The 25,936-nt window shown below is 39.5% G+C and overlaps 2 pseudogenes, besides 1 other annotated feature; one reads left to right on the top strand and one right to left on the bottom strand.

Annotated features, from left to right (window-relative positions):
* The window catches only part of SEPTIN7P3 (septin 7 pseudogene 3), a 28,603-nt pseudogene extending 2,994 nt beyond the window's left edge, over positions 1-25,609 (bottom strand).
* Positions 137-949, top strand: PPP1R14BP4 (protein phosphatase 1 regulatory inhibitor subunit 14B pseudogene 4; annotated as a pseudogene).
* Positions 3,751-4,250: an enhancer, noted in NCBI's record as "H3K4me1 hESC enhancer chr7:36007259-36007758 (GRCh37/hg19 assembly coordinates)". NCBI's record gives its function as "activates a minimal SCP1, AML or CMV promoter by ChIP-STARR-seq in primed H9 embryonic stem cells {active_cell/tissue: H9 hESC(primed)}" and the evidence as "EXISTENCE:reporter gene assay evidence [ECO:0000049][PMID:30033119]".

Genomic DNA, 25,936 nt, shown 5'->3' with positions numbered 1-25,936 from the left:
ACTGGTCTTCATTCAAATCACCTGGGATGTTTGTTAAACATATAGAATCCTGGACCTCACTCAGATGTACTGAATTAGAATATCTGGGTGTTAAGGGGTGGCGGTCACGGGGACAAAGGGCAGGCGGATCGGCGGGGAGGGAGCGGGGCGCGGCCAGGCCCTGCCCGGGGGCTCCGCATGCTGCAGCTGCCCCCGGGTGCCCCCGCCGCTGCCCTCGCCGCCGAGCAGCATGGAGAGGAGCCGGGGACCTAACCAGAGCCAGCCGGCCGGCCTCCCGAAGGCGGCGGCGCAGGGAACGGCCCGACGCGTGCTCGTGGTCCCGGCGGCCGCCAAGGCGGACAGCGGCACCGCGCGGGGGCGCTGCGTTGGCGGCCCTGGCCCCCGGGCCGGGCAGTGGCGGCCCAGGACCACGCGTCTACTTTCAGAGCCCCTCTGGGGCCGCAGGAGACAGCCCAGTGAGGCGCCAAGGGAAGGTCACCGTCAAGTATGACGGCAAGGAGCTACGGAAGCGCCTCAACCTAGAGGAGTGGATCCTGGAGCAGCTCACGTGCCTCTGCGACTGCCAGGAAGAGTAGATCCCAGAACTGGAGATTGATGTGGATGAGCTCCTGGACATGGAGACTGACGATGCCTGGGCTGCCAGGGTCAAGGAGCTGCTGGTTGACTGTTACACACCCACAGAGGCCTTCGTCTCTGGCCTCCTGGACAAGATCTGGGGCATGCAGAAGCTGAGCACACCCCAGAAGAAATGAGGGTCCCCGACCCAGGCAAACGGTGGCTGCCACAGGACAATAGCTGCCCCCCGACCTCGTAGCAACAGCAATACTGGGGGACCCTACGGCCAGGCCTGGTGCCATGAGCAGGGCTCCTCGTGCCCCTGGCCCGGGGTCTCTTCCTCTGCCCCCTCAGTTTTCACTTTTGGGGTTTTTGTTACTAAACTGGTGGGACTTTTTGTGTTTTTATATTGAATCTGCAGCGCGGGCCCTTTTTAGCTAGGATCCGCCTTTGGTGCAACTAAAAAAAAAAAAAAAAAAAAAAAAAGAATATCTGGGTGTTAAGTCTGGAAATGTGGATTTTCAACAAGTTACAGTGATTCTAATGCAGGTGGTCCTTCCTCTGCTGTGTATTAATGCTGTAAAGAATGCTGACTGAGAGGTGGGAAACACTCATGCAAAATAACTGAAGAAACAAAGAGCTTTACGTCCAAGAGATCATTAGATAAGTAATTTCATTTAGGCGCAAGTCAATCCATTTCTGAAAAAAGTCAACAAATTTTAAAAATCAGATTAAATCCTACTATGCCAAATACCCAAGGGCTATTCAAAACCTTCAGTTATCCAGGAATTATGTTCTGTTATAGATTTTACTACATTGGTGAGTTAACATCTTGAATTTGGATTATAATATAATTTTGCATACAATTTGTTTTCTTTTTTGCAAGCCCGAAGTGACTTCAGATTTATTCCTATTTCAATTATTTCATGCAATTCCTACAAAACAAAATCACGTAAGACACATTTAAGCAAACATGAGTCAAATCAGGTGAAATCTTCCTGATGACAGCAAACAAGTTACTAAGAAAATGTCAGAAAGTAGGAACATAAGAAAGTGTCTCTAGTTATTTTTTTTAAATGCAAGGGAACCACATATACACAATTCGGAATAGTAGTTACCTCTGGGAATGGAGAGAGAGGGATACAATAGGGGACAGGCACACAGGGTCTTCAAATGAGTTGATAACATTCTATTTTTTTAAGCTGGTGGTGGGGCTTACAGTGTTCATCATTCCTTAACTTACATTTATGTCATATGTAAGTAATTATCTTTTGTGTTAACTGCATGTAGATAAAGGTATAGGTCACAATCTCACTCTTAAGAAACCCATGGGGTCAGATGCCTTTCAAAGTTCAACATTTTTCTGTTATTAAAATGACAACACTGCTTAGAAAGGAGTATATGTTTATAAAATACCTCCTGGGCTATCTGGGGCAACAAACATAATCAAACACATTACTTTTTATTTTTTTCAGTAAAATATATAAATATTCACAATATGTAGGATTAAAACTTAGTTCATCTTAGGTTTTGCAGTTTTCAGAGCTTTTTCCATTCTGAAATTGTGAAAAACAGGACTGTAGACCTATCTAGCAATTAACAGCAAACCTAAAAATTAACTGGGTTTAAATGCTGGCATACTAAGTTAACTTATCCTTCTTCTCATCTATAAAGGGGAGATGGGCAATAATATCCTTGTAGGGCTGTGGTGTGCACTAGATGACACAATAAATGAAAGTTGCTTGGTGCTGTGGCTGATGTACTGTGCTGCTGGCTGTGCCCCAAATATTTCCAGCATAATGAATTTAAGGAGAAACTGTATTAAGGCTAAAAGGGTTTCTTTACCTATTTATGTATTTACATGTATCATATACATGATGATTTGCAAACTCATTACCACAGGGATGTTGGTAAACACACTCTAGATGTGGTTTCATAAAAGACAAAGCATCTAGAATGAGCATGCCTAATTCTCTAATGGCTTAGAGTATTAGTGGGAACTTGGCCCAGAGCTCTTCACGGGTCCTTTAAATGTTAACATTCCATCCTTCAAAGAGTAGTTCTCAGCATATACCCGAGGCTTTAAGACGCTGCTGGTGCCACACAAGCTCCGGGGCTGTGGTTGCCACACTGAAGCCTCTGCCGCCTGCTCCGGACACTCGGACGCGCAAGTCCCCATCCTGGCTCACTGCAGCCTCAATCTCCCAGGCTTTCTTTGAGGGTGTTCCCTCAAAGAAAGAGGCCCAAAGTCCTCCCCCGCAAAAAAAGCCAGAAAGGAATGGAGGTTCCTCCCCAGAAATCCACAGCATCTGCAGGACATACAGCCCTACAGGAACAGGCAGACAGGCCAGTGTTGCTGGAGTTGGCCCCTGGCTCCCGGGGTTCCCCCAGGCCAGCCCGAGCTGGGAGCCTGCTGAGACCCCTCCCACCTGAGCCCCACTCCGGCCCCCTGCTAGACTGCATCTACACAATCCAAGGTGACCCTGAAGGCTGGCTGGGGCTTCAGAACCCACACAGCCCCTCAGGTGAGACACAGAGGGTGGTCCGCGGGCAGTGCCAGGCCTCAGGCGGCCCAGGGCAGAGTAAGCAGCTTTGTGGCAGTGTGGTGTGTCAGGGAGGGGAGTCTTCCGTGTCCCGTTGGCTGCGGCTGGGACCAGGGCACGCAGGAAGGGGCTGTGCAGCCAGGCGGGCCCCCCCCGTCTGGATTTGCTCCTGGGCACACAGCCCTCTGTGTCCAGCGGCCTCCCAGGGTGATGTCTAAAGTCCCTGGCAGCTGTGGTCCTGGAGAGAGGCCCACCCCGCAGTACGACCTGAAGACGTGGGAGCAGGAGCCACCAGCAGGTGGGCGCCGCCCCTGAGAGTGCACACGGGGAGGGTGGGCGCAGGAAGCCAGCCTAGGGACGGCGTTCGCACCATCACGGAAGTCTTAGCCCTTTCTTTACTCTCCATGGGCGCCGGGCAGCAGCGACTGCCTGCGGGATGGGCGGAAGGGAAGGCCCTGGCCGATCCCACCCATGGAGAGGACACAGCCACAGGCCGGGACGATACATCAAGCTCGCGCCCACGGCCCTCACATGTCCACGAAGACCATGAGGCACCAGCCCAGGCCCCCATCCAGCAGCATGGTGACGTGGATGCTGTAGATGAGCAGCTCGTTCACCAGGCGGAATTCCACGCGCCAGCGGCCCAGCAGCAGCAGCAGCACCCACAGCTTGTGCTGGAAGCACAGGAGGACGCTAACGCCCAAGTACTGCAGGCAGAAGAAGGCGGCCAGCGTGCCCCAGTGACAGGCTGCAGCTGAAGTAGAGCAGGAAGTGGATGAAGCCCTACAGCCAGCGCGTCTTGATGCACACCTCGAAGCTGTTGTACTTGGTGCGGGCCAGGTGGGAGGCGCCCACGGGCCCACAGACCGCATGCAGGCAGGTGGTGTGTGGACCATGGAAGGAGCACAACCCCCGCGGGATGGGCATGACCGGCATTGGACCCCGGCGGCAGCGGCGTCCAAGCTACGGTCAGCGTAAGGGCCATGGGTGCCTACGCCTGGGAGCCCGCAGCTGAGCCTCGGGGGAGGCGTTGGCCTGATGCCCTCTCCGCTGCGACGCCAGTTTCCCGAACCTCCCGGCAGGCCGGTGGTGCTGGGGGCCGGGCCTGCTGTCCCTCTGGGCTCCATGCGCAGGGCAGCTGCGTGGTGCAGGGGCGCACGGCTGGGGGTGCTGGCGGGGCGGCTACGGAGGTGGTTCACGCGTCCCCGGCTAGGGTTGCCCCACAGGGGAAGGGGCGCCTGGGCGCGGCCGCCGGAGGCGTTTGGCCTAGCTTGGGAGCCGTAGAGCCCTTCCTTGACCACCACCTTAGGGCGGCCTCACGTCCCTTCCACCCACGCGGACCGAGCTGCGCTTCCCTTCCCCCTGCTCCGGGCCCGCGCTGGGCGTCCCAGACTCCACGCTTCCCAAGGGCCTGTAATTTTTAATTATAACAGATTTATGTTGAGAAAACTTCATACTGAAATCACTGATTTATTTTGGGATTACCCAATTTTTTTTCTACTATTCTCAGATATCTATCAAACTACTGCTCTATGGATTCTTATGTTAAGTTTATCCTTTTCTCCATCTTTTCTTTCTTGCCACCTACTGAAGGAAATGTCTCCAAGGTCTTTTTGATTAATAGAAACTAAATGTATAACTCGACATCTAGAAGGGTTTCAAGATAGTAGATATGTCTGCTGGGATGTTTTGTCATTACCCTGCCCAATGTTGTAACACCAGGAACTACCTTGACACTACATTATAAATAAAGAAGGCCAACCTGTTAACAAAAATATCACATTCCCTAATTTTCTCTCCTTTAACTGTGTGTAATTTATCCAGGCATGTCTTTAGTTCAATAAAGGTTATTTCCCTCTTTTTCATTCATACACAAGTAAGTCTGGTCAATTATTATTATCCTAGCACTAGTTTTTGTGCATAAATCCACCCCCAAACTCTCATCTTTAGTGTTCTTATGCCACCTGTATGGAATGGCTTATAATTTTATTTTTCACAACTCACACTTGTTCATTATAACTTTAATAATTCATTGTAAGTACTCTACTATGCTGTCCTACCTAATACACTATGTCCAAGCACTTATGTATTGAAGTCTATATTATTTTATTGTAAACAGGGCTTGCTTCTAGAAATTTCTCCATTTTGTTACGCTAGGGTATTAATTTCTAAAAAATATGTATAAGAAGGTTATATTATCTATAAATTTTACTGAAGATACTATTTAAAAAGGAACACAATGTCTGCTAAGAGCTGGAATATTGGACTGATTACCTCAGCTTCAGAGTCCTTCAGTTTTTGAACTTTTTCTTTGACCTTCATTTCAAACACCTGCTCCATCTCCATCTCCATCTTCTTAATTTTAGCTACTTGCTCCCTTCTTTCTTCTTCCATTTGTGCCAGAGGGCTCCTGTCACGAATATTAAGGGTAATCATTAAATGTCTGTGAATAAAAATTATAATAGAAATATGAAACAGTTTGATGAAAACAGAGATGCTATATATGTATATATGCCATTATTAATATATTTATAACCTAGAACTTCTTTCTGTGATATTTCATATATAAAACTTATGAAAAAAATGTAAAAAGCAAAGATGTTCTCTAAACCTACTACATATCAAATCTAAGGATGATGACATACCAAATAAACTGTAGAAGGAAAATGAGGGAAAAAATTCCCAAAATACATTTACAGAATAAAATATCAGAAGAAAATCATTTAATTTTGTTCTTTAAACAACATTTTAACATGAAAAACAGGAAATGAGTAATGAAGTTAATGTATGTAGAGTATTTTTAGTTTTACCAAAATTTCAAGTGTTACAATCTCTTCTAAGACAGCTACTAACACCACAAAAATGAACAATATTATTATTTATTTTGGTAACTGAACTGATACGTTGGAAATCACTACTAGTCAATACCTAGAGCACTATTTAGGTATACAGAATATTTCTAGGCCTCTTATAGTAACTTCAGTGCTCTTGAAAATTCATTCCACTTGGCCGGCATGGTGGCTCATGCCTGTAATCCCAGCACTTTGGGAGGCCGAGGCGGGTGGATCACGAGGTCAGGAGATCAAGACCATCCTGGCTAACATGGTGAAACACCGTCTCTACTGAAAAAAAATACAAAAAATTAGCTGGGCATGGTGGCGGGCGCCTGTAGTCCCATCTATTCAGGAGGCTGAGGCAGGAGAATGGCGTGAACCTGGGAAGTGGAGCTTGCAGTGAGCCGAGATCACGCCACTGCACTCCAGCCTGGGTGACAGAGAGAGACTCTGTCTCAAAAAAAAAAAAAAAATTAATTCCACTTAACTCAAATATTTCAGTCTTAAATTCAATGATTTAACACACACACACATACTTTAGAGATAATCAGAAGCAAATATTTTATTTTTTTAAATGCCAGAATATACACATAAGCATAGTTAAATAAAAAAAAAATATTCACTCTGTTGATGTTAAAGTCCATGGACTCAAATCTCTTTGGACAATTGTGTTCAAAATTTTTCACACTGAGATATATTTACAGGTGGGATTTATGTTAAGGCCAATATACTTACTCACAGAGACACAAGAGAATACCAAATTACCTAGTGCTTTCAGCCCAGGAGCAGAAAGATAAGTGGGCTCTTAGCTTTGAGAGTCTCTGAAAATTATTCAATACCCTGGGACAAATTAAATGAGGTAGATCCTTCTTTGAATTTGTTAATAAAGCATGCTTGTTTTGTTTCCATAAAAACAGGCTTTGACCATTAAGGTTTATATTTTAAATGGGTAAATTTTATTGTAATACACTAATTTTAAGAAAAGAATTAACTCATGGCTTAAAAACAAAAACCAGACCTTGGATTTCACCCATAACTTTTAACCCTGATTTGACACACTCTTATTATGGTGTCTTTTCTCCTTATTTGGCTAAATATTTCTAACCATCACAGCAATCTTTTCTATAAAGGAAGCAGGCAAGAGAGCTAGAGTGAAAATGCTAAAAACAAAACAAGACAGAATACTGGCTATCAGTTTTTCTTAATTAAGATGATCTGTTTTCGCAATTGCGTAAATTAGAATAAAATGTTATTTAACTCAAGGATATTTCTTCACTGAAAGAAAACTTACTTCTACATGCAAACCTGCCATATACTTTTCCAATTAAGCAATGGATCAAAAGTTCTGAAAATGAAAGTAACCAGACATATTAACTTAGAACAAGAACCTGCATTTTAAAAGCGAGTCAGCTGAGGCCGGGCGCGGTGGCTCACGCCTGTAATCCCAGCACTTTGGGAGGCCAAGGCGGTTGGATCACGAGGTCAGGAGATCGAGACCATCCTGGCTAACACAGTGAAACCCCATCTCTACTAAAAATACAAAAAATTAGCTGGGTGTGGTGGCACCCGGGAGGCGGAGCTTGCAGTGAGCGGAGATCATGCCACTGCACTCCAGCCTAGGCAACAGAGCGAGACTCCGTCTCCAAAAAAAAAAAAAAACAAAAAAAGTGGAGTCAGCTGAAATACATTTTCAAGTGTAAATATCTTTTTTTTTTTTTTTTGGTTAAAAGTTGATGAGATCCTTCTTAATAATATATTTCTCATATTAATGGCAGGTGTTTTTTAATATAGTTGCCTCTGATCTGAGCACACACAACGTCAGTGACTGCCCTGAAACAGCATACCAAATGTGTTTGCCAGCATTCTTCCAGTGAAAGGGTCCAAAGCTTTTGTTACATTTTCAAAGAGTCTATAATTCCCACTGTCCCCTAACACCCCAAAAATCTTTTTTAGGCTCTAGAAAATAAATAATCTAAAAACGATTAATTGCTAATCTTAAGTAACCGAATATGCATATTTAAGCAACTTAAGATTATTCAACAATATAATTGTGATTGTAAGTACATTAAATTAGAAATCAGATATAATTAAATATCTACTCCTACTTATATAACTCATCTATAAAATGTTTATTTTACTTTATCCTTGGGAAGGAGCAGGTAATTTTGCTACCTAAATTATTATTTAAATAACTACAAGGGGAAAATAAGAGACTGCAGAGAAAACATTCAATGATGTTTCAAAATCTTCTTTTAGGCCAGGCACAGTGGCTCACGCCTGTAATCCCAGCACTTTGGGAGGCCAAGGCCGCCAGATCACAAGGTCAGGAGTTCAAAACCAGCCTGGACAACATGGTGAAACCTCATCTCTACTAAAAATACAAAAATTAGCCAGATGTGCTGGTGCACACCTGTAATCCCAGCTACTTGGGAGGCTGAGGCAGAAGAATTGCTTGAACCCAGGAGGCAAAAGTTGCAGTGAGCCAAGATCGTGCCACTGCACTCCAGCCTGGGTGACAGAGCAGGGCTCCATCTCGAAGGGAAAAAAAAACACTTCTTTTAAATTCAAAATTTAAGTATTAAAAATCCCTGTATAGTAAAACTACTATGTCTTTGGAAAAACAATTCCCCGCCTTACATGCCTTCAACTGTATCATATCTAAAGGAACAAAAATTAGCGATTTAGCACATTAAAAGTAAAGCATGCTAAAAGCTTCAATTGAAGGCAAATGCGTAGCTTTCACAATTAAATTATGAAGGTATGTGCCATAAATAAAAAATTTACAGTAAAATTCGCTAAAGCTAATTTATTTCCCAAATTATGTTTGTAATCATTACACTAAATCACTATGAAAATAAATATGCTGTGCAATTATCTTCTGACAGTCTGTTCAAAGTTCTAAACCTGCTAAATGTGTGTACTTTCTAAAAGAAATTTGCAATATTTAACAGTTAAGATACTGTAAGTTTTTAGGCTTGTAAAAATAATCTGACCGAACATACTCAAATACTGTGAAAAAATGTTCATGCATATTTAAAATGAATTTTTTGAAGTCTCTCACCAGTAAAAATATTTTACATTTTTAATTTGTAAATTAACACCTCACTTCTAGACATCTTTATGAATTTTTAGAAAATTGAAATAAAGAATTATGCTTACAAGGCAGAAAATATAGGGAAATCACTTTTTGTCTTCACATTTACTATTTTTTTCCAAGTAAAACCTTTTATTAAACAGCTGGAAAAACCATTTAAGTTATATCATTGCCTGCCTGCTTTTAAATAGGAAACTCTTACACACACACATATAGTAGTAAAGCTTATAAACCTATCAGCGAAATTAAAAACCCAAAGAAATGAAAAAAGCCTAGTAAAACAAGCAAAAGAAAATGGTTACAACATAACCCGAATATGAAACTAAATCCCCAAAGATTTAGCTCCTTCTAGGATTGTCTTTATAAGGTTAAAATTCCTGCAAGCCACACCCCTTCATGTGACCAATAAGAGAATTACAGCCACCACAGAAGGATGACCTAGTCAAGTTCTACTTTGCTGCATTACATGTGACCCACCCTTGGAGTATAATAAAAAACAATCATGTTTCATTTAAATTATGTGTGGTTGTCTTTCCTAAAGAATACATTAAGCAAGTAGATTTACATACTTTTTTGCTCCAGTGGTTAGTAGGTCACTATGTGCAAAACTTTCCAAAGGAATTTCACTTAAATAACTTGAAAGATCAATAAAAATTTCCAAAAATTTTGAGTAATAATGGTTGCCAACATCTTGTTTTGCCAAGTAAGAGTATTAAAACCAAACATAAACAAAACTCCAACTACTATCATTATAATTTTATGAAAGGACACTTGAATAAAGAGTAAAAGATATAACTAAATAAGTTTAATTTTTTGAAACAACTTGAAATTTTCAGAAAATTGTCTTTATTTCTATTTAGATCAATGAAAACTCTTGTATGAAGAATTCTGAGGATCTGCCTTTGGAACCTGTATTTTTAGTCATTTACTTATAAAGTTTTCCCAAGATGACTGATGGAAAAGGCTATGGAGAACAGAAAAATAAATTAACATAAGGGAAAGAGAGACTAGGGTGTGCCCCAACTTGGAGCAAGGTATCTATTGTCACAATTGGTACCAATGATAGACATCAGTTCTGAAAAAGAGTCACCAATCAAATGTGATTTTAAGTAAAAGGTACAAAGAAGATCAAGAAAAAAGGAGGCAGATAAAAGTTCAAGAAGGAAGTTTAACAAGATGGCCCTCCTCTTATTGGGAATCACTTCCTTTAAGAGATCAGCAATCTGATATGACCAACTCTTCTCCCCTTTCCTTTACAGACCCTTGCTGAATTTCCTTTGATTTGAGAGGCTACCCTTTCTGTGGCTTTCAGCCACCCACTACCCTCCATAAGGGATGCAAGATATATTCTCTAAGGAGTTAAGAAGTACTTTGATGGCTCCATACGTTCTTTGTCAGAAACAGGTAATTACTGGATAGCTGCTAAGAACAGCATCCGCTTCTCCAGATCTAACCTTGAGACAAATTATAGCTGACTGGACAAGTTCAGCTATTCTTCAGATTTAAACAACGCATCTAATTCTTGTTTTAAGTCCCTCTAAAATAGAATTGTTCCAGGGCTATTAACAGAAAGGCACATTTTCAGACATCTACACATGTATTTTTAATTTTTATTTTTATTTCATGTTTCAATAGCCTCTACAGTTTGCCCAAAACTACCTCAGAAAATTTAAATATAAGATAAATTGATCTACAGTCATGCACTGCTTAACAATGGGGATACATTCAGAGAAATTCATTTGTCATTGTGTGAACAACAGAGTGTACTTACATGACCGTAGATAGTATAACCTACTACACACTTAGGCTCTATGGTATAGACATTATAATATTATGGGATCTTGTCATATATGCAGTCAGTCATTGACCAAAACATCGTTATGTGGCACATGAATGTATTTTACTATTCAATGTCTAACATCTTTAAAAAGTTTAGCTTATATTCTAAAACCAAAGTGTGATTAGCACTTTGTGAAGCATACATTGCCAAAGATCAATTTAACTATAAATTTTCAATAGGTTCATGTTCCATTCCAAAATTCTTGCAACTCTCAACCCCTCCCCACTACCACTGTTAAAGAATACATTGCTATGGAGAGTCGCATGAGAGCAATACAAAAAGAACATTAAAAGAAGCCTAACTCATACCTGCTTACTTCACTTACTTAAACATTAGTCTTTCTTTTCAGTTATTCATGGATATGTACTGAGCTATGAGGAAAAGCACCTTACATCAGCTAAAGCACCATAAGTTGTTAATGACTTTTAAAGAAAAATTTAACAAAAATATTTTTTGAAATTGCTAACATTTTCAAGACAATGTAAGATACAACCAATAGATAAACTTCTAAGCGATTTCTTTCAGATTCAGTATGTGTTATTCAATGAAGTAGTAACAATCTAATTTATCAAATCATATCAAATATCTATTCCAATTACAGCCATTCCCTAGTTGGCTTGATCTTCTCAAATGTTTATTTTCCTACTTATTATTAACATAAAATAAAATATTATGCTAGCTCCTGGGGCAATTTGCTTTTTAGCAATGCAAACATTTCTTTTCTTATTCGCATAGAAAAAGTATGGTATGATTCCTCTCTTTAAGAGATATATTTCCAGTAGAATTCTACTATTTATGTTTTCACCTGGGATATAGTTTAACTCACGTATCTACACAGAATTTTGTGTATGCGGAAAAAAACTTAATGATACTGTAAAGTTTACTATTTTTCTCTGAATTATCTTACCTGCATCCAACAGCACTACTTTAAAAAGCCTTACATTTGAGACATGGGAACAATTAAACAATTCCTTATATCGACAACATAACAAATGTTTTAAAAAATATATTGTATAAGTACATATATTTTTTGTATATTTTGTATATTTTCTTTTAATATACAAAATTATCAGTAGCTTTGTGTATGTGTTTCTTTTAATGAGTTAAAACATTCATCATTAATGAGAATGAGTTTAAAGTGAATTAGGATTTTATGAACAATATTCACTATGATGGATCCTTACATTTTTGTGCCAAAGTTGCTCAATAAACATTTTGCTAAAAAGAGATAAAAAGCCTTCCTTCTGTTCATGTATTGAGGCTTACCTCAAACAGAATCTTGTATTTTAAATATTTAAGAAGGGACATTTTTCTATTCCATGATAAAGCATGTTAACCACTATGGAAAACACCACAGCTACTTTGAGAACTTGTATTATGTATTTATATAGTTGATCCGTCAGGATTATTGTCTAATGGTAGATAACACCGAGCTACAAATGCACATTATTTAAAATGGTTTCGTAATACAGCTATGCACTGCATAATGATATTTCAGTCAACAAGGGACTGCATATATGATGGTGGCCCATAGGAACTGAAAAATTCCTACTGCCCGGTAGCATTTTGATGATCTTGACCCTGAATAGGCCTAGGCTAATGTGTAAGTTTATGTTTTCGTTTTTAACAAAAAAAAGTTTTAAGTGAAAAAAGAAAGAACTTTTAAAATAGAAAAAAGCTTATGGGATAAAGATTATAAAGATAATATTTTTGTACATCTGTTCATGTGTTTGTGTTTTAAGCTAAGTGTTACTACAAAAGAATCAAAAAGTTTTTAAAAATTTATTATAAAAGTTACAGCAAAATAAGTTTACTAAAGATAAATTTAAAAAGTAAATTTAGTATAGCCTAAGTGTACAGTGTTCATAAAGTCCACAGTAGTGTACAGTAATGTCCTAGGCCTTCACATTCACTCACCGCTCACTCACTGACTCACCCAGAGCAACTTCCAGTCCTGCAAGCTCCATTCACACCAAGTGCCCTATGCAGATATACCATTTGTAATCTTTTACACTGTATTTTTACTGCACCTTTTCTATGTTTAGATACACAAATACTTAACATTATGTTACAACTGTCTATAACATTCCATACAGTAACATGCTGTATAGGTTTACTGCCTACAAGCGATAGCTAGACCGCATAACCTAGGTGTGCAGAAGGCTCTACCATCTAGGTTTATGTAGGTACACTCAATCATGTTTACAGAATGAGGAAATAGCCCAATGACACATTTCTTAGAATGTATCCCCATTGCTAAGTGACATATGATGTAATTGTGATCTTCAATAATGACAAATTTTTTAAAAGTAGGGCACAGACATGGTTATCAGCTTCCTCACACATCTCTTTTTTTGACCCCAACATGAAACTACCACAGCTTGAGATATAAGCTCAATAGGGCAAAGCTACACACTTCATAGTCACTTACACCACTCTAACAACCAAAAGAAGAAACTGAAACTCCAAGTAATTTACTCCCTGGAATAGGATTAGAGAAGGTAACCAAGAATAAATTCATCTAAATATTCCTTTTCTTAAAGCCTGTCCTTTGTTTCCACACAATCTGTAAGTGAAAACTCTATCAAAATGGTTCATTCAAAAAAGCTTCTACTATTAACAAAGCATAACAATATAAATTTATGCTGTTGTGCATAGAGAATATTATCCAAATTTTCTACTGAGTAGCCAGGAGAAATTTAATGAAAATGAAACAATATGATTATTGACTACAGAAAGAATACCTTTTTTTGGAGAAAAAATATATACTTACTTAGCAAACTGCCCTTTATTCTTCTTGTTATCAACTCCATGATAAGTCACAGCTGCCAGTTTTCTGATTCCATAGTTCTCGTAGTGGACATTATTAGTAACATCTTTCAAGTCCTGCGTGTGTTCTGTCATAAATAAACAGCAAGAGTTTGTTTCTATTAATAGCTGGGGGGGGGAAGCTGAAAAAAGCTTTAATATACATTCAAAATGTTACCAAAACAAAAATTTCAGATTTAAAATGAACAAAAGACTATTGTTAAGGAAGGTGGCATTCATCTGTTTTCATTTACACCCAAAGTAGAATAAAAAATAAGCTAACTTGACACCAAATTTAGATTCCATAGAGATTTTAAGACCCATAGCAAGGATTTCATGACTAAAACAACAAAAGCAATGGCAACAAAAGCCAAAATAGACAAATGGGATCTAATTAAACTAAAGAGCTTCTGCACGGCAAAAGAAACTACCATCAGAGTGAACAGGCAACCTACAAAATGGGAGAAAATTTTTGCAATCTACCCATTTGACAAAGGGCTAATATCCAGAATCTACAAAGAACTCAAACAAATTTACAAGAAAAAAACAAACAACCCCATCAAAAAATGGGCAAAGGACATGAACAGACACTTCTCAAAAGAAGACATCTGTGCAGCCAACAGACACATGAAAAAATGCTCACCATCACTGGTCAGCAGGGAAATGCAAATCAAAACACAATGAGATACCATCTCACGTCAGTTAGAATGGCGATCATTAAAAAGTCAGGAAACAACAGATGCTGGAGAGGATGTGGAGAAATAGGAACACTTTTACACTGTTGGTGGGAGCGTAAATTAGTTCAACCATTGAGACAGTGTGGCGATTCTGCAAGAATCTAGAACTAGAAATACCATTTGACCCAGCAATCCCATTACTGGGTATATACCCAAAGGATTATAAATCACGCTGCTGTAAAGACACATGCACACGTATGTTTATTGCAGCACTACTCACAATAGCAAAGACTTGGAACCAACCCAAATGTTCAACAGCAATAGACTGGATTAAGAAAATGTGGCACATATACGCCATGGAATACTATGCAGCCATAAAAAAGGATGAATTCATGTCCTTTGCAGGGACATAGATGAAGCTGGAAACCATCATTCTCAGCAAACTATCACAAGGACAGAAAACCAAACATCACATCTTCTTACTCATAGGTGAGAACTGAACAATAAGATCACTTGGACACAGGGCAGGGAACATCACACACTGGGGCCTGTCAGGGGGTGGAGGGCTGGGGGAAGGATAGCATTAGGAGAAATATCTAATGTAAATAATGAGTTGATGGGTACAGCAAACCAACATGGCACACATATACCTATGGATCAAACCTGCATGTTGTGCACATGTACGCTAGAACTTAAAGTATAATTTAAAAGAAAAAGAAAAAAAGAAAGAGAAAGAGAAATCGCCATAGGAGGGAAGACTTTCTTCTAGGGCACTGAGGAGATTGTCAAGCCCAGATGACAGGCACCACCTTTCCACCTTATGCCTCATTAATGGAAATATCACAATGCCCAGATCTAAGGCAGAGCTTCCCACCTATGAGCCTGCATCTCAATCTTCACCTTCCAGGAACCAGGCAGTGTCTTCTGGGCTGATTACTTCCAGTTTACCTCATTGTGATGTCCAAATATTATAGCTCCCCTCTCCCTTGTGATGAGCATGGAAAATATCGGTGGCTCCAAATTCCTATTGTTTCACCTTAGAAAACAAATCTGAGAACCCCCCTAGCACCAAGCACAGTACCTGGATAAAACAGGCACTTAATAAATATTTGCTCAGCCAACGCAAGGATAAATGGATGAAATTCCTCATCCCTGTATTCATTTCTGAAGACCTGCTGGTGAAAATCTAGCTCTAAACATCTTTCAGATTTATTCCATTGAGGTATGAAAAAGGAAAAAAAAATGACGATGCAAACGAACTCAGCAGCTGGCACAGAAAGTGCAGTCAGATTCTGCTTCCCCTGTAATTAAGCGTGCCCAATGCCTCTGACTTAGGCGATGACAGCGTGCAGCTTGCCTGCCTGCCCTGGGTGCCTGGGAGGGCAGGCAGCCCTCAGGATGCCACTATACAACACATTCGCCACCTTATCAAGATTTCCACAGCCACAGGAAGATTTCTCACCCCGCCATGCCCCCCACAGGCTGCCCTGTGCTGTCATCCCCCTTCCTGGCTGAAGACATGCTGGCTGTCCCCTCCGCTCCTCCCCGGAGATGAGCATCTTTCCTGGGCCTCCCTTGGCGTTTTGACAGCTGCTCCATGTCCCCGCTGCTCAGAGAGGGAAAGCCACTAGGGAGGCCTTGGATGGAAATATTACTCCCTGTCCAGGGTAGCATGGGCTTGATCGCGCCGGATTATTTCTGATTGTTGTCACTGGGCCAAGAGCACAGCGAAGTCAAGAAAGAAATGGCCTCATTAGTGAGAGTGCAGCGGTCTGGGTAGGCAGCAGTGGCGTGGAGGACCTGCTTTTGCGGGAGCAGTGAAGAGAGGGGAAGGAGTGGTGTCTTTATATTGAGATATTTTGAGATTCCTGGTTTCTCCACTCACTTCAATTGCCCATATAGGTTCTGCAGGTTCCACGAAGTTCTAGAACTTGTACAGGATCGAGCCCACAGCTTCTCATGGAATAAACACAGAATCAAGAAAATCTGGTGGAAGTCGCCTGGTTTAACTCCTTTGAGGTCTAGAGCAGAAATTAAATAGTGCTTAATCTGTTACTTTAAAGAAGCCTAGTTCTAACTTTTCCTCAGCTCGCTCTCTCTTTTGCCTAGGATAGGAAGGGTGGGTGCAAATGGCCAGCTCCCTGTAGGTCTGCCTCTTGGAGCCCTAAGTTTCCCGCCACTTCTCTGCACTACAGGCTTTGCCCACGGTGGGATCCTCAGCCCAGGGACCTTGTTTGTCCTCCTCTTGGTGCTGGTGCCTGCTGCCCAGCCACACACCCTCAGATTCATTTTTAAAGAAACATCAACAGCTCTTAAATGGCAAATGAGCCCCTTTCAAAGAGCTGGGATGACTTTGAAAAAGGGCCTGAGACAGCAGTCGACCTCTGACCGTCTCCCCTCGGATGCCCTCTCCATCCCACCCTCTCTCCCCGTCCCTGTCCTCCGCTTTCCCAGAGAGCCTATCTGCTCTTCAACCCTCCTCCCTGCCCGATTGTGCTGTCTCCTCAACACGTCCCATGTTGCTTGATTCCTAAAATAACATAAGGGAAAACATTTTTTTTCTGTTTGTTTTTTTTTTTTTTTTTTTTTTTTTTTTGAGACGGAGTCTCCCTCTGTCCCTCTGTCGCCAGGCTGGAGTGCAGTGGCGCAATCTTGGCTCACTGCAACCTCCGCCACCTGGGTTCAAGCGATTTCCTGCCTCGGCCTCCTGAGTAGGTGGGACTACAGGCACGTGTCACCACGCCCGGCTAATTTTTTTATTTTTAGTAGAGACAGGGTTTCACCACGTTGGCCAGAATGGTCTCAATCTCTTGACCTTGTGATCCACCCGCCTCGGCGTCCCAAAGTGCTGGGATTACAGGCGTGAGCCACCGCGACCGGCCAAAAACATTTTTTTAAATAAAGAAAATGAATCCTCAAAAAAGAAAAAAAAAAAACACAAATCTCCCAAAGCAGTTACTGAAGGATGACCTTTCTATGAAAGAGTATTCATTTTTGTATTATCTATTTAAATACTAGACAAGAGAGTGTAGATTAGCTACTACTGAAGCTCATAAAATCTAAAAGTAACTGCCTTTTAGCAATATTACTAAGGTAATATATGAGTTTTTATTAAGACATAATAATACATTTCAGATGACATATCAAGTTGTTTTCAAACTAGGGAATTTTAGAGTAAATTTCTGTTTCTTCAAACTGTCTAGGTGAATGTGGTATTTTGGTTAAACAAATTTTTGCTTACAGCATTTCCATCATATATAAAATCAATACATATGAGATAAATCTACAATAAATACAGGATGATGTCATCATTATTTAATTATTCAAGACACTGAAGATACCCTTAGCTGCTCCATGGATATCCTTTACCAATGTAGTGTTCTTGGATATACACGGTGTGGCAATACTCTGTATTGTCAGTTCTCCCTCTTCCCATCATCTATTCTGTCTCAAACTTCCTATATCTGCCATCATTCATCTTCACCACTTTACTAAAACTCCCTTCTGGGAGACAAACATAAAGGTGTATTGTTGGCTGGGTGTGGTGGCTCATGCCTGTAATCACAGAACTTTGGGAGGCCGAGGTAGGTGGATTGCCTGAGCTCAAGGAGTTTGAGACCAGGCTGGCCAACATGGTGGAACCCCATCTCTACTAAAAATACAAAAATCAGCCAGGCGTGGCGGCAGACACCTGTAATCTCAGCTACTTGGGAGGCTGAGGCAGGAGAATCGCTTGAACCCAGGAGATGGAGGTTGCAGTGAGCCAAGATCGTGCATTGCACTCCATCCTGGGTACAAGAGTGAGACTCCGTCTCAAAAAAAAAAGCGTATTGTTGTACTGTTTTTATCATTCCTTACATCCAGAAAACCTTTACTGTTACTTCACAATCCAGCTTCTTGAATCTCCCCCTTTGGGAATAAAATGTGATATTCAATTACTCTGATTCATATCGTACTGACATTTCCATGCAATTCTCTGATAGTTGACTCCCCTTAGTCCTAAGTCTGAGTTTTCCAAAAATCTCATCTCCCAGACTTTGTCCCTTGATAAATTCATGTTCTCTTATAGCCACAACAGTTACTTCTAAAGCTCTACTACTCCACTTCGGGCAAGTCAGACAGCTCCCTACTCCTGGCATATCTGGTGATTGACACTGAACAGTTCATGCTAATTTGTCAATCTCTCGTCAAAGAGTTCAACTGCTTTGGAAACCTTTGTCCCAGCCTTGACATCAAAGCATTCCAACCATGAACATTTTCTTCTTGGTTGTCATTCATTTTTGGTACAAGTATATGTCACAGGTGACATCATACCTCTTCAACTATAAGTCCCCCTTTACAAGGAACACACCATTACCTTTTGTGTCCCAATGCAGATAGCAGAAAATAGGAATTTTAACAAAATTGGTAACTCAAGATTGAAGCTAAGATATGATAAACACTTTTTGGAATAAATTATTGTTACCAGTTTCTCTAAGTGGCGAATGATAAGAATAAACACCTATGCCAATATAAAAAAAGTTTATGTAATTTTTTTCTTTCTTTTTTTTTGATACAGAGTCTTGCTCTGTCGCCCAGGCTGGATGGAGTGTGGTGGTACGATCTCAGCTCACTACAACCTCTGCCTTTCAGGCTCAAACCATCCTCCCGCCTCAGCCTCCTGAGTAGCTGGGACTACAGGCATGCAATACCATGCCCAACTATGTTTTGTATTTTTAGTAGAGACGCGGTTTCGCCATGTTGCTCAGGCCAGTCTTAAACTCCTGAGCTCAAGCAATTCTCCCACCTTGGCCTCCCAAAGTGCTGGGAGTACAGGCGTGAGCCACTGTGCCCGGCCTAATTTTAATTATTACATATTACATATCATCACTACATCACTGAAAAATCATTAAAGGTTCTAAGGAAGAATACTTACATGAAATGTTTGCATGAATGTGTAAAATAAAGGTAAGGTGAATTTACTAATTGTTAAGCTATTTTTGTTAGTGTCATCTAATGTTTTAGATAATGGATGATTTTCCTTTCACTAAAATCACTTTCACTTCTATATGACTACATAATTCTGATTTTTTCAGGTTATATGTCTTTATTTCCATTTAATTAAATATGCTTTAACCTTTTATGATTCAACCCACTCCTCCATTCTCAAAATAATTTGGTAATTAGCAATACAGTTTCCCCACAGTTTCAGGAATTTGTCTCTTCCATTTCCCATTGCTGTACCATAACTCTTTCTGTTCTCCTTTTGTTTTCTTTCCGTATTTGATTTCTGAAACACCCATCTCCACACCCTGAAAATATTTGTATAGTTTTCCTCCTTTCCATTGCCTTCTTTGGTTTGCCTGGAGTAAGTCAGTTCTCTTGATTAGCAAACACTTCTTTGAACTTGACTCTTTCTTAGAAGCAATCACTACTCCTTTGACCTGAAGATTTCAATTACTTGGGATTTACAGACATCTGCAATACTGATATTGTATTTCCTTCCTTCAGGTACTTACTAAATATCCAGTAAACGCCTTTGTCTTAAAGACATGAGCTAAATTAAATATACATCTTTCTAATAATGTATAACTTTAGAATTTTTAGGCATAAAAGGCTTGCTGCTCTGCTGTATTAAATCTTCCTGCAGGCATGGTCAATTTGCTCTGTAATGCTTATACTAGGGAGGACCCTCACTAGCTGCCAGGCTGTGAACTTTCAAATATTCAAAGTAGCCTCTGGGCTGGGTGGGCGTGGTGGCTCACACCTGTAATCCCAGCACTGTAGGAGGCCAAGGCTGGTGGCTCACTTGAGGTCAGGAGTTTGAGACCAGCCTGGCCAACATGCTGAAACCCCATCTCTACTAAAAATACAAAAATTAGCCGGGTGTGGTGGCACATGTCTGTAATCCCAGCTATTCGGTAGGCTGAGGCAGGAGAATTGCTTGAAGCCGGGAAGCAGAGATTGCAGTTAGCCAAGATCGTGCCACTGCACTCCAGCCTGTGCAACAGAGCGAGACTCTATCTCAACAAAGTAGCCTCTGGCTTAGTAACTAGCTTTCCCCTCTACAGTGTTTTAGGTATGTAGGAAATTATTGATTGTATACTTTTAAAATACACAAGAAAAAGTTATAGAATGCCACCATGTCAAGCACTGGGCAAGTACCATAGAAGATTTAAAAATAAGAGGAATGCAATGGTAATTAGTATTTATTAAACATTCTCTACTTATATACTGTCACAGCAGATTATATTATTAATATGTATCCTTTTGAAGTCACACCTTAAGAATGGAAGAGGAAGGGAATGGTTCATAATAGAGCCTGAAGTGTTGTATTCTCAAAACCCAGAGGATGACCTTCTCGTGCTTTTGCTCTTCTCCCCTAATTGAGGCCTGGCAACCCCAACTGCTCAATCAACCCTGTCATGCAGTTCCTACCAAAAACACCTGCTCCTTTGAAAATAAAGATCAATTACATGTCAATTTCTTTCATTTCAAAATTCACTCTCATCTCTATTGTATTTCTTGAGGTAGCAGTTTGACTCTCTTAAATTTTCCCCCTCACTTCTCACTTGTGAGAATTACCTTCTTGTTATTCCATGATTTCCAATTATTATCCATATTTATGTTACTACCTTTCTTTACATAGCTAAAGAGATTCTTGCGTTTTGGGAAAGTGGGTAAGAGGTACGAAAATGAATAGATATCAACTTAAGACAGACATCTAAAACTGGAGGTTGAAGAGAGTATGTGGTAAAGGCATAGAGAAGCAAGAGAGAGAAGTGGGAAATGGGGAGTGAGGTAGGGAGAGGAAGGAATGTGTCTCAATATGAAAACACTGAGGATCATTTTGATGCCCTTTCTGTTCCTTGTCTACTAACATCTCTAGTCCTATTATACTTTTTCTTCATGATTTCCTCTCTGCTGCTGCTTTTCTAATTCATTAGTAAGAGCTCCTCTTTACTAGTCCTGGTCCTCTAATCGGGATGGCCTCAATGTCCTGCTCCCATAGGCTTTCCTTCTCTTTCAGCAGGTGTGCAAGACACAATGTAGGGATTTTTTTTTTCTCATCTGATAGGAAGAATGGTTTTGTTCACTATGTTCCAGTACATAAAATATGCCCTACTCACCAGCTACCAGGTTGTGCACCTTTTAACATTCAAATTCTAGCTTTTGACTCAAAAACTAGCCTTCCCTTATACAGTTTTCACAAGTTTTTCACATTAAGAAAGAAAAAGAGCCTCTTCTATTTCACTTTCCATAGTTATTTCAGTATTAAACCTCAACACAAAGTATAACGATAAAGCAAAGAGACTAATTTTCCTATGTATCCCTAGACACACAAATTATTTTGTAACTTTTGCTGATGACTTCAAAACCTTGGAGAAAGAATCGTCTACCTGTAGTGCTTACTTCATTACTAGACTGAAGATATAAATTTAAATTAGCTACATTTATAGAAGGCAAAAAGTAAATCTATCCAACTCTTATTTAGGGAAAGAAAATCTTATGCTATTTCCATCATTGCTTGCACTTACCTTATCAACATATTTCTTAGAACTGTAAAATCACAATGTTCACCATTTTCAACTGTAAGAAAAAAATAGACCACAAATATTATATTTTCACTAAGCCTAGTCTTTTCAAAAAATATTTCACAGTAACTTGGGGGGTAAAAAAAAGGGAGGGGAAATGCAAAACAGCTCAGATCAATTTTTTTGAGATTTAACACTAACATAGTACTCAGTGTAAGGGCATGACAGAGAAGTGTACTATATTATTACCTTACTGTAGTTTAATCCTCAGAAACAGATATGTCAACCTAACTAAAATGAGCTCTCCGGAAACAACTTTGAAATTTTGAAAGGGGAAATCACGTATTTTCTCATTATTGGTAAAAAATATATTTATTATATAATACATTTAAAAAATTCAGTGGTGTAAGTGAAGGGAGAATCACTTTAGAAAAAAATCTTAAGGTAACCAAAATGAAAAAGGGAGCCAAGAACTTTAAGATTCTTTACTTTTATTTTTAAAGAATGTATCACAAACAGGAATATTACTTGGGAGTAGAGGGGTAAACTACAAAAGAGAGATGCAAATCAATTTCTCTGGTGCCTATTTTTAAGGGGTATGTAAGTTCTAAAGCCTCAACTCAGCAACTGAAAGTTGCCTGGGCATGACAGAGAGAGCTGGGAACAAGGTACAGGGGTCACTGGCGGGAAAATTGTCAATAAGGACAGTAACTTGAAACAATATCCTAAAAATTAAAGAATTGTTCAAAATAAACCAAGGGCAGTGGTGTGTGCCTATAGTGATGTGATGTGGGAGGAGCATGACTTGGGAGGATCACTTTGAGCTCAGGAGTTTGAGGCCAGGTGGGCAACATAGCAAGACCTCGTCTCTTAAAAAAAAAAAAAAAAAAAAAAAACAAATTCAAAAATAATAGCAACAAACATAAAACAATCATGTCTCAATTTTGGTTTCAGCTTACTATAATACAGAAGATTAAATATCAGATTAAACCAATACAATAAACCTATTGCCAAGAGGAAGGACTTCTGAGGTTTGGTGTTATAAATAAGATTTTTTTGGTATTTAAAACCCCTTACTTAACCCTTAATAATTTAAGATAGCAGGTTAAAAAACAAAAAACTCCTTACAAAACTAGTAAAGAGTATCTTTTACTAATGAAATTTTTTTACTCTAAATATGCGATGTCAAAAAAGGCAACTTTTGCACTGAGGAAAGGAGACTGTGAATGTTTTAACTGGGCTTATACATTTTTAAAATAATTCTTGAGGGTCCATGACCCATCTGACATTCCGATAAAAGTGACTGGCCTTCTCTCCAAAATGTTTAATTCCAGGAGGTTCATTAGATTCCCTGGGAGCAAACTTAGGGCCCCAGGTAAAGAACCCCTCAATTTTAGTTATGTTTTCAAATAAGAACACAGAAATAGACTTAATAAGGAGGCAGGGATGCCAGCCAGGGTGGGGCAAGTTGAGTATCCCTTATTTGAAATGCTTGGGACCAGAAGTGTTTTGAATTTTTTTGGAATTCTGGAATATCTGTGTTATACTTACTGGCTGAGCATCCTTAATCCAAAAATCCAAAATTCAAAATGCTCCACTGAGCATTTCCTTTGAGTGGCATGCCGGTGCTCAAAACGTTTTAGATTTTGGAGCAATTCATATTTTGAATTTTCTCTTTAAGAATATTCAACCTAGGCCGGGCACAGTGGCTCACGCCTGTAATCCCAGTACTTTGGGAGGCTGAGGCGGGTGGATCACAAGGTCAGGAGTTCAAGACCAGCCTGGCCAATATGGTGAAACCCTGTCTCTACTAAAAATACAAAAATTAGCCAGGCGTGGTGGCACGCACGTGTATTCCCAGCTACTTGGGAGGCTGAGGCAGAAGAATCGTTTGAACTCGGGAGGCGGAGGTTGCAGTGAGCCAAGATCATGCCACTGCATTCCAGCCTGGGTGACAGAGTGAGACTCCATCTCAAAAAAAAAAAAAAAAATTTGAATGTTCAACCTATACTACAACTTTAGGACTTAACACATACTTGCCTGACTTAGTAGGATACAGGTTTGAAAACCATGAATGTATTTAAGAGGAAAATGAGACTACAAGAACCTGAAATCAGTACTATCCTTGAAATCTAGATTATATCAATACAGTATGCATATTATACTCCTTACTATAAATACAAATTTTTAATCACAGTTTTGAGATCTTATAGAAACTCATTCACTGAAGAAAACCTTACCTTCAGCAACACTCCAAGGATACTGCCTTCCTATGACCCTTTTGCCATTAACTTCAATGATAGTATTACTACCCACCACAGCAAGAGGTAAATGGTCCTATAAAACAAAGTATTCTTGTTCAAATACATCTCTATAGTATTCACAAATTTCAAGAATAAAAAAAGTTACATGACTCAACAGATTAGCCAAAAAAAAATTACTTTTGATAGTTTCTGCATTAGCTTTTATAGGCCATTTAACCAATATTTAGTAAATTGACATCACATGATATTACCACCAAGGTAAATAATAAATAAAATTAAATATTCTCTTTAAAGTTAAGAATATTCAAGCATATACTGGTCAAATTATTTACTAAAAATCACTACAGAAAGTTGTCCCATACTTGGGGGGAAAAAGGTAAAAAATATATTAGCATCTGGGAAAATAAAAGGAGGCTAATGACTAGCCTGACTACTTGATCACAAACCAACTGTAACAGTACCTAAAGCAGGGAATAGTATATTTGCTAAGCTCTAACTTTGGAACTTCAAATCCAGGTGACTGGATTTGTATTCATCCATGTATAGCCCTTCACAATTCTGTGGCTCCCGGAAATATCTAACCAGCTATTTTATATAACTGCAGAAATTCTTCACTGGCGAGGTATAAGCATTTCATTATTCCAAGGTATTTGCCTACATAATGCCATTATTCAGTATACCATTTTCAGGGACAAAGTACTTAGAAAACCACAATAAATTAAAATACAGAAAATTGTGTTGATGTGAATTTTTGGTTGGTTTTTATTATTTTTAATTGAAACATAATTGTACATATTTGTGGGGTAGAGTATGGTATTCTGATACCTGTATACAAATATGTAATGATCAAATTAGGGTAATTAGCACATTTATCAACTCACACTTATTTTTCTGTATTGGGAACATTCATAATCCTCTCTTCTAGCTATTTGAAAATATAGACTAAATTACTGTTAACTACAGCCACCCTACAATGCTACAGAACGCTAGAACTTATTCCTCCTATCTAGCTGTAATTTTTGTTGGCTTTTATAAAGATAAAAGAAATACAATTTTTGTCTGGCAATTAAAACATAACAGAAGGAATTCTCTCCTTTCTCATCACTTGTTTCTTAAGAGGGAAAAAATTATATAATATGAAAGCCAGTTAATTAAAAACAATTTGAAATAAGGATTGTGTTATTCACCTCAGTAGTTTACACAATTGCTTATTATATCTACTAGCTAATCTTCAAAGTTAACTATAAAGTTGAATTCAACATTAAATCTCCCTAGGTATTTTGTAAGCCAACTACTTAAAACACTGATACTTTTGATCTTTCCTGTGGACGCTGTAGTATGTTTTTAAGGCCTCAGATTACTTTAGTGTATGTACAGGGATGAACCTACCTTTATCTTTTTAACAAGTTTTTTTTCTTCTTCATCATCTGTTTCTGGAAATTCATGTATTTTAACGTTATGTTCTTGGATTTCTTTATCTAAAATGGAAGTAGTCAGCAAAAGAGCACCATACATAATTAGTACATTAGTCTTATGTTTATTACATGCTTCTTAGATTCCTATATGGCTCCTTGTTTCCACATCCTTTACTGTTTTTTTAATGATGCAAAGTTGTAATCTAAAGTTAAAGTATTATGCTGGTCTTTTTTTTTTAAAACTGTAAAGTTGATATATAAACACCAAATCCATTTACTTCAGAAGTGTTGAAGTCATACAGCTATCATATCAAAAGAGTTCCAAAAGAGATGTAAAACTCCAGAAAGGAATTTCTCTGGTTGATTTCCAGAATAATGACTTTAGGTCATTT

Source organism: Homo sapiens, chromosome 7 (genome assembly GCF_000001405.40).
Source record: "Homo sapiens chromosome 7, GRCh38.p14 Primary Assembly".
In the NCBI taxonomy this organism is placed as follows: Eukaryota; Metazoa; Chordata; class Mammalia; order Primates; family Hominidae; genus Homo; species Homo sapiens.
The sequence above is the reverse complement of the archived record's forward strand: the minus strand, read 5'-3'. Positions and strand labels throughout refer to the sequence as shown.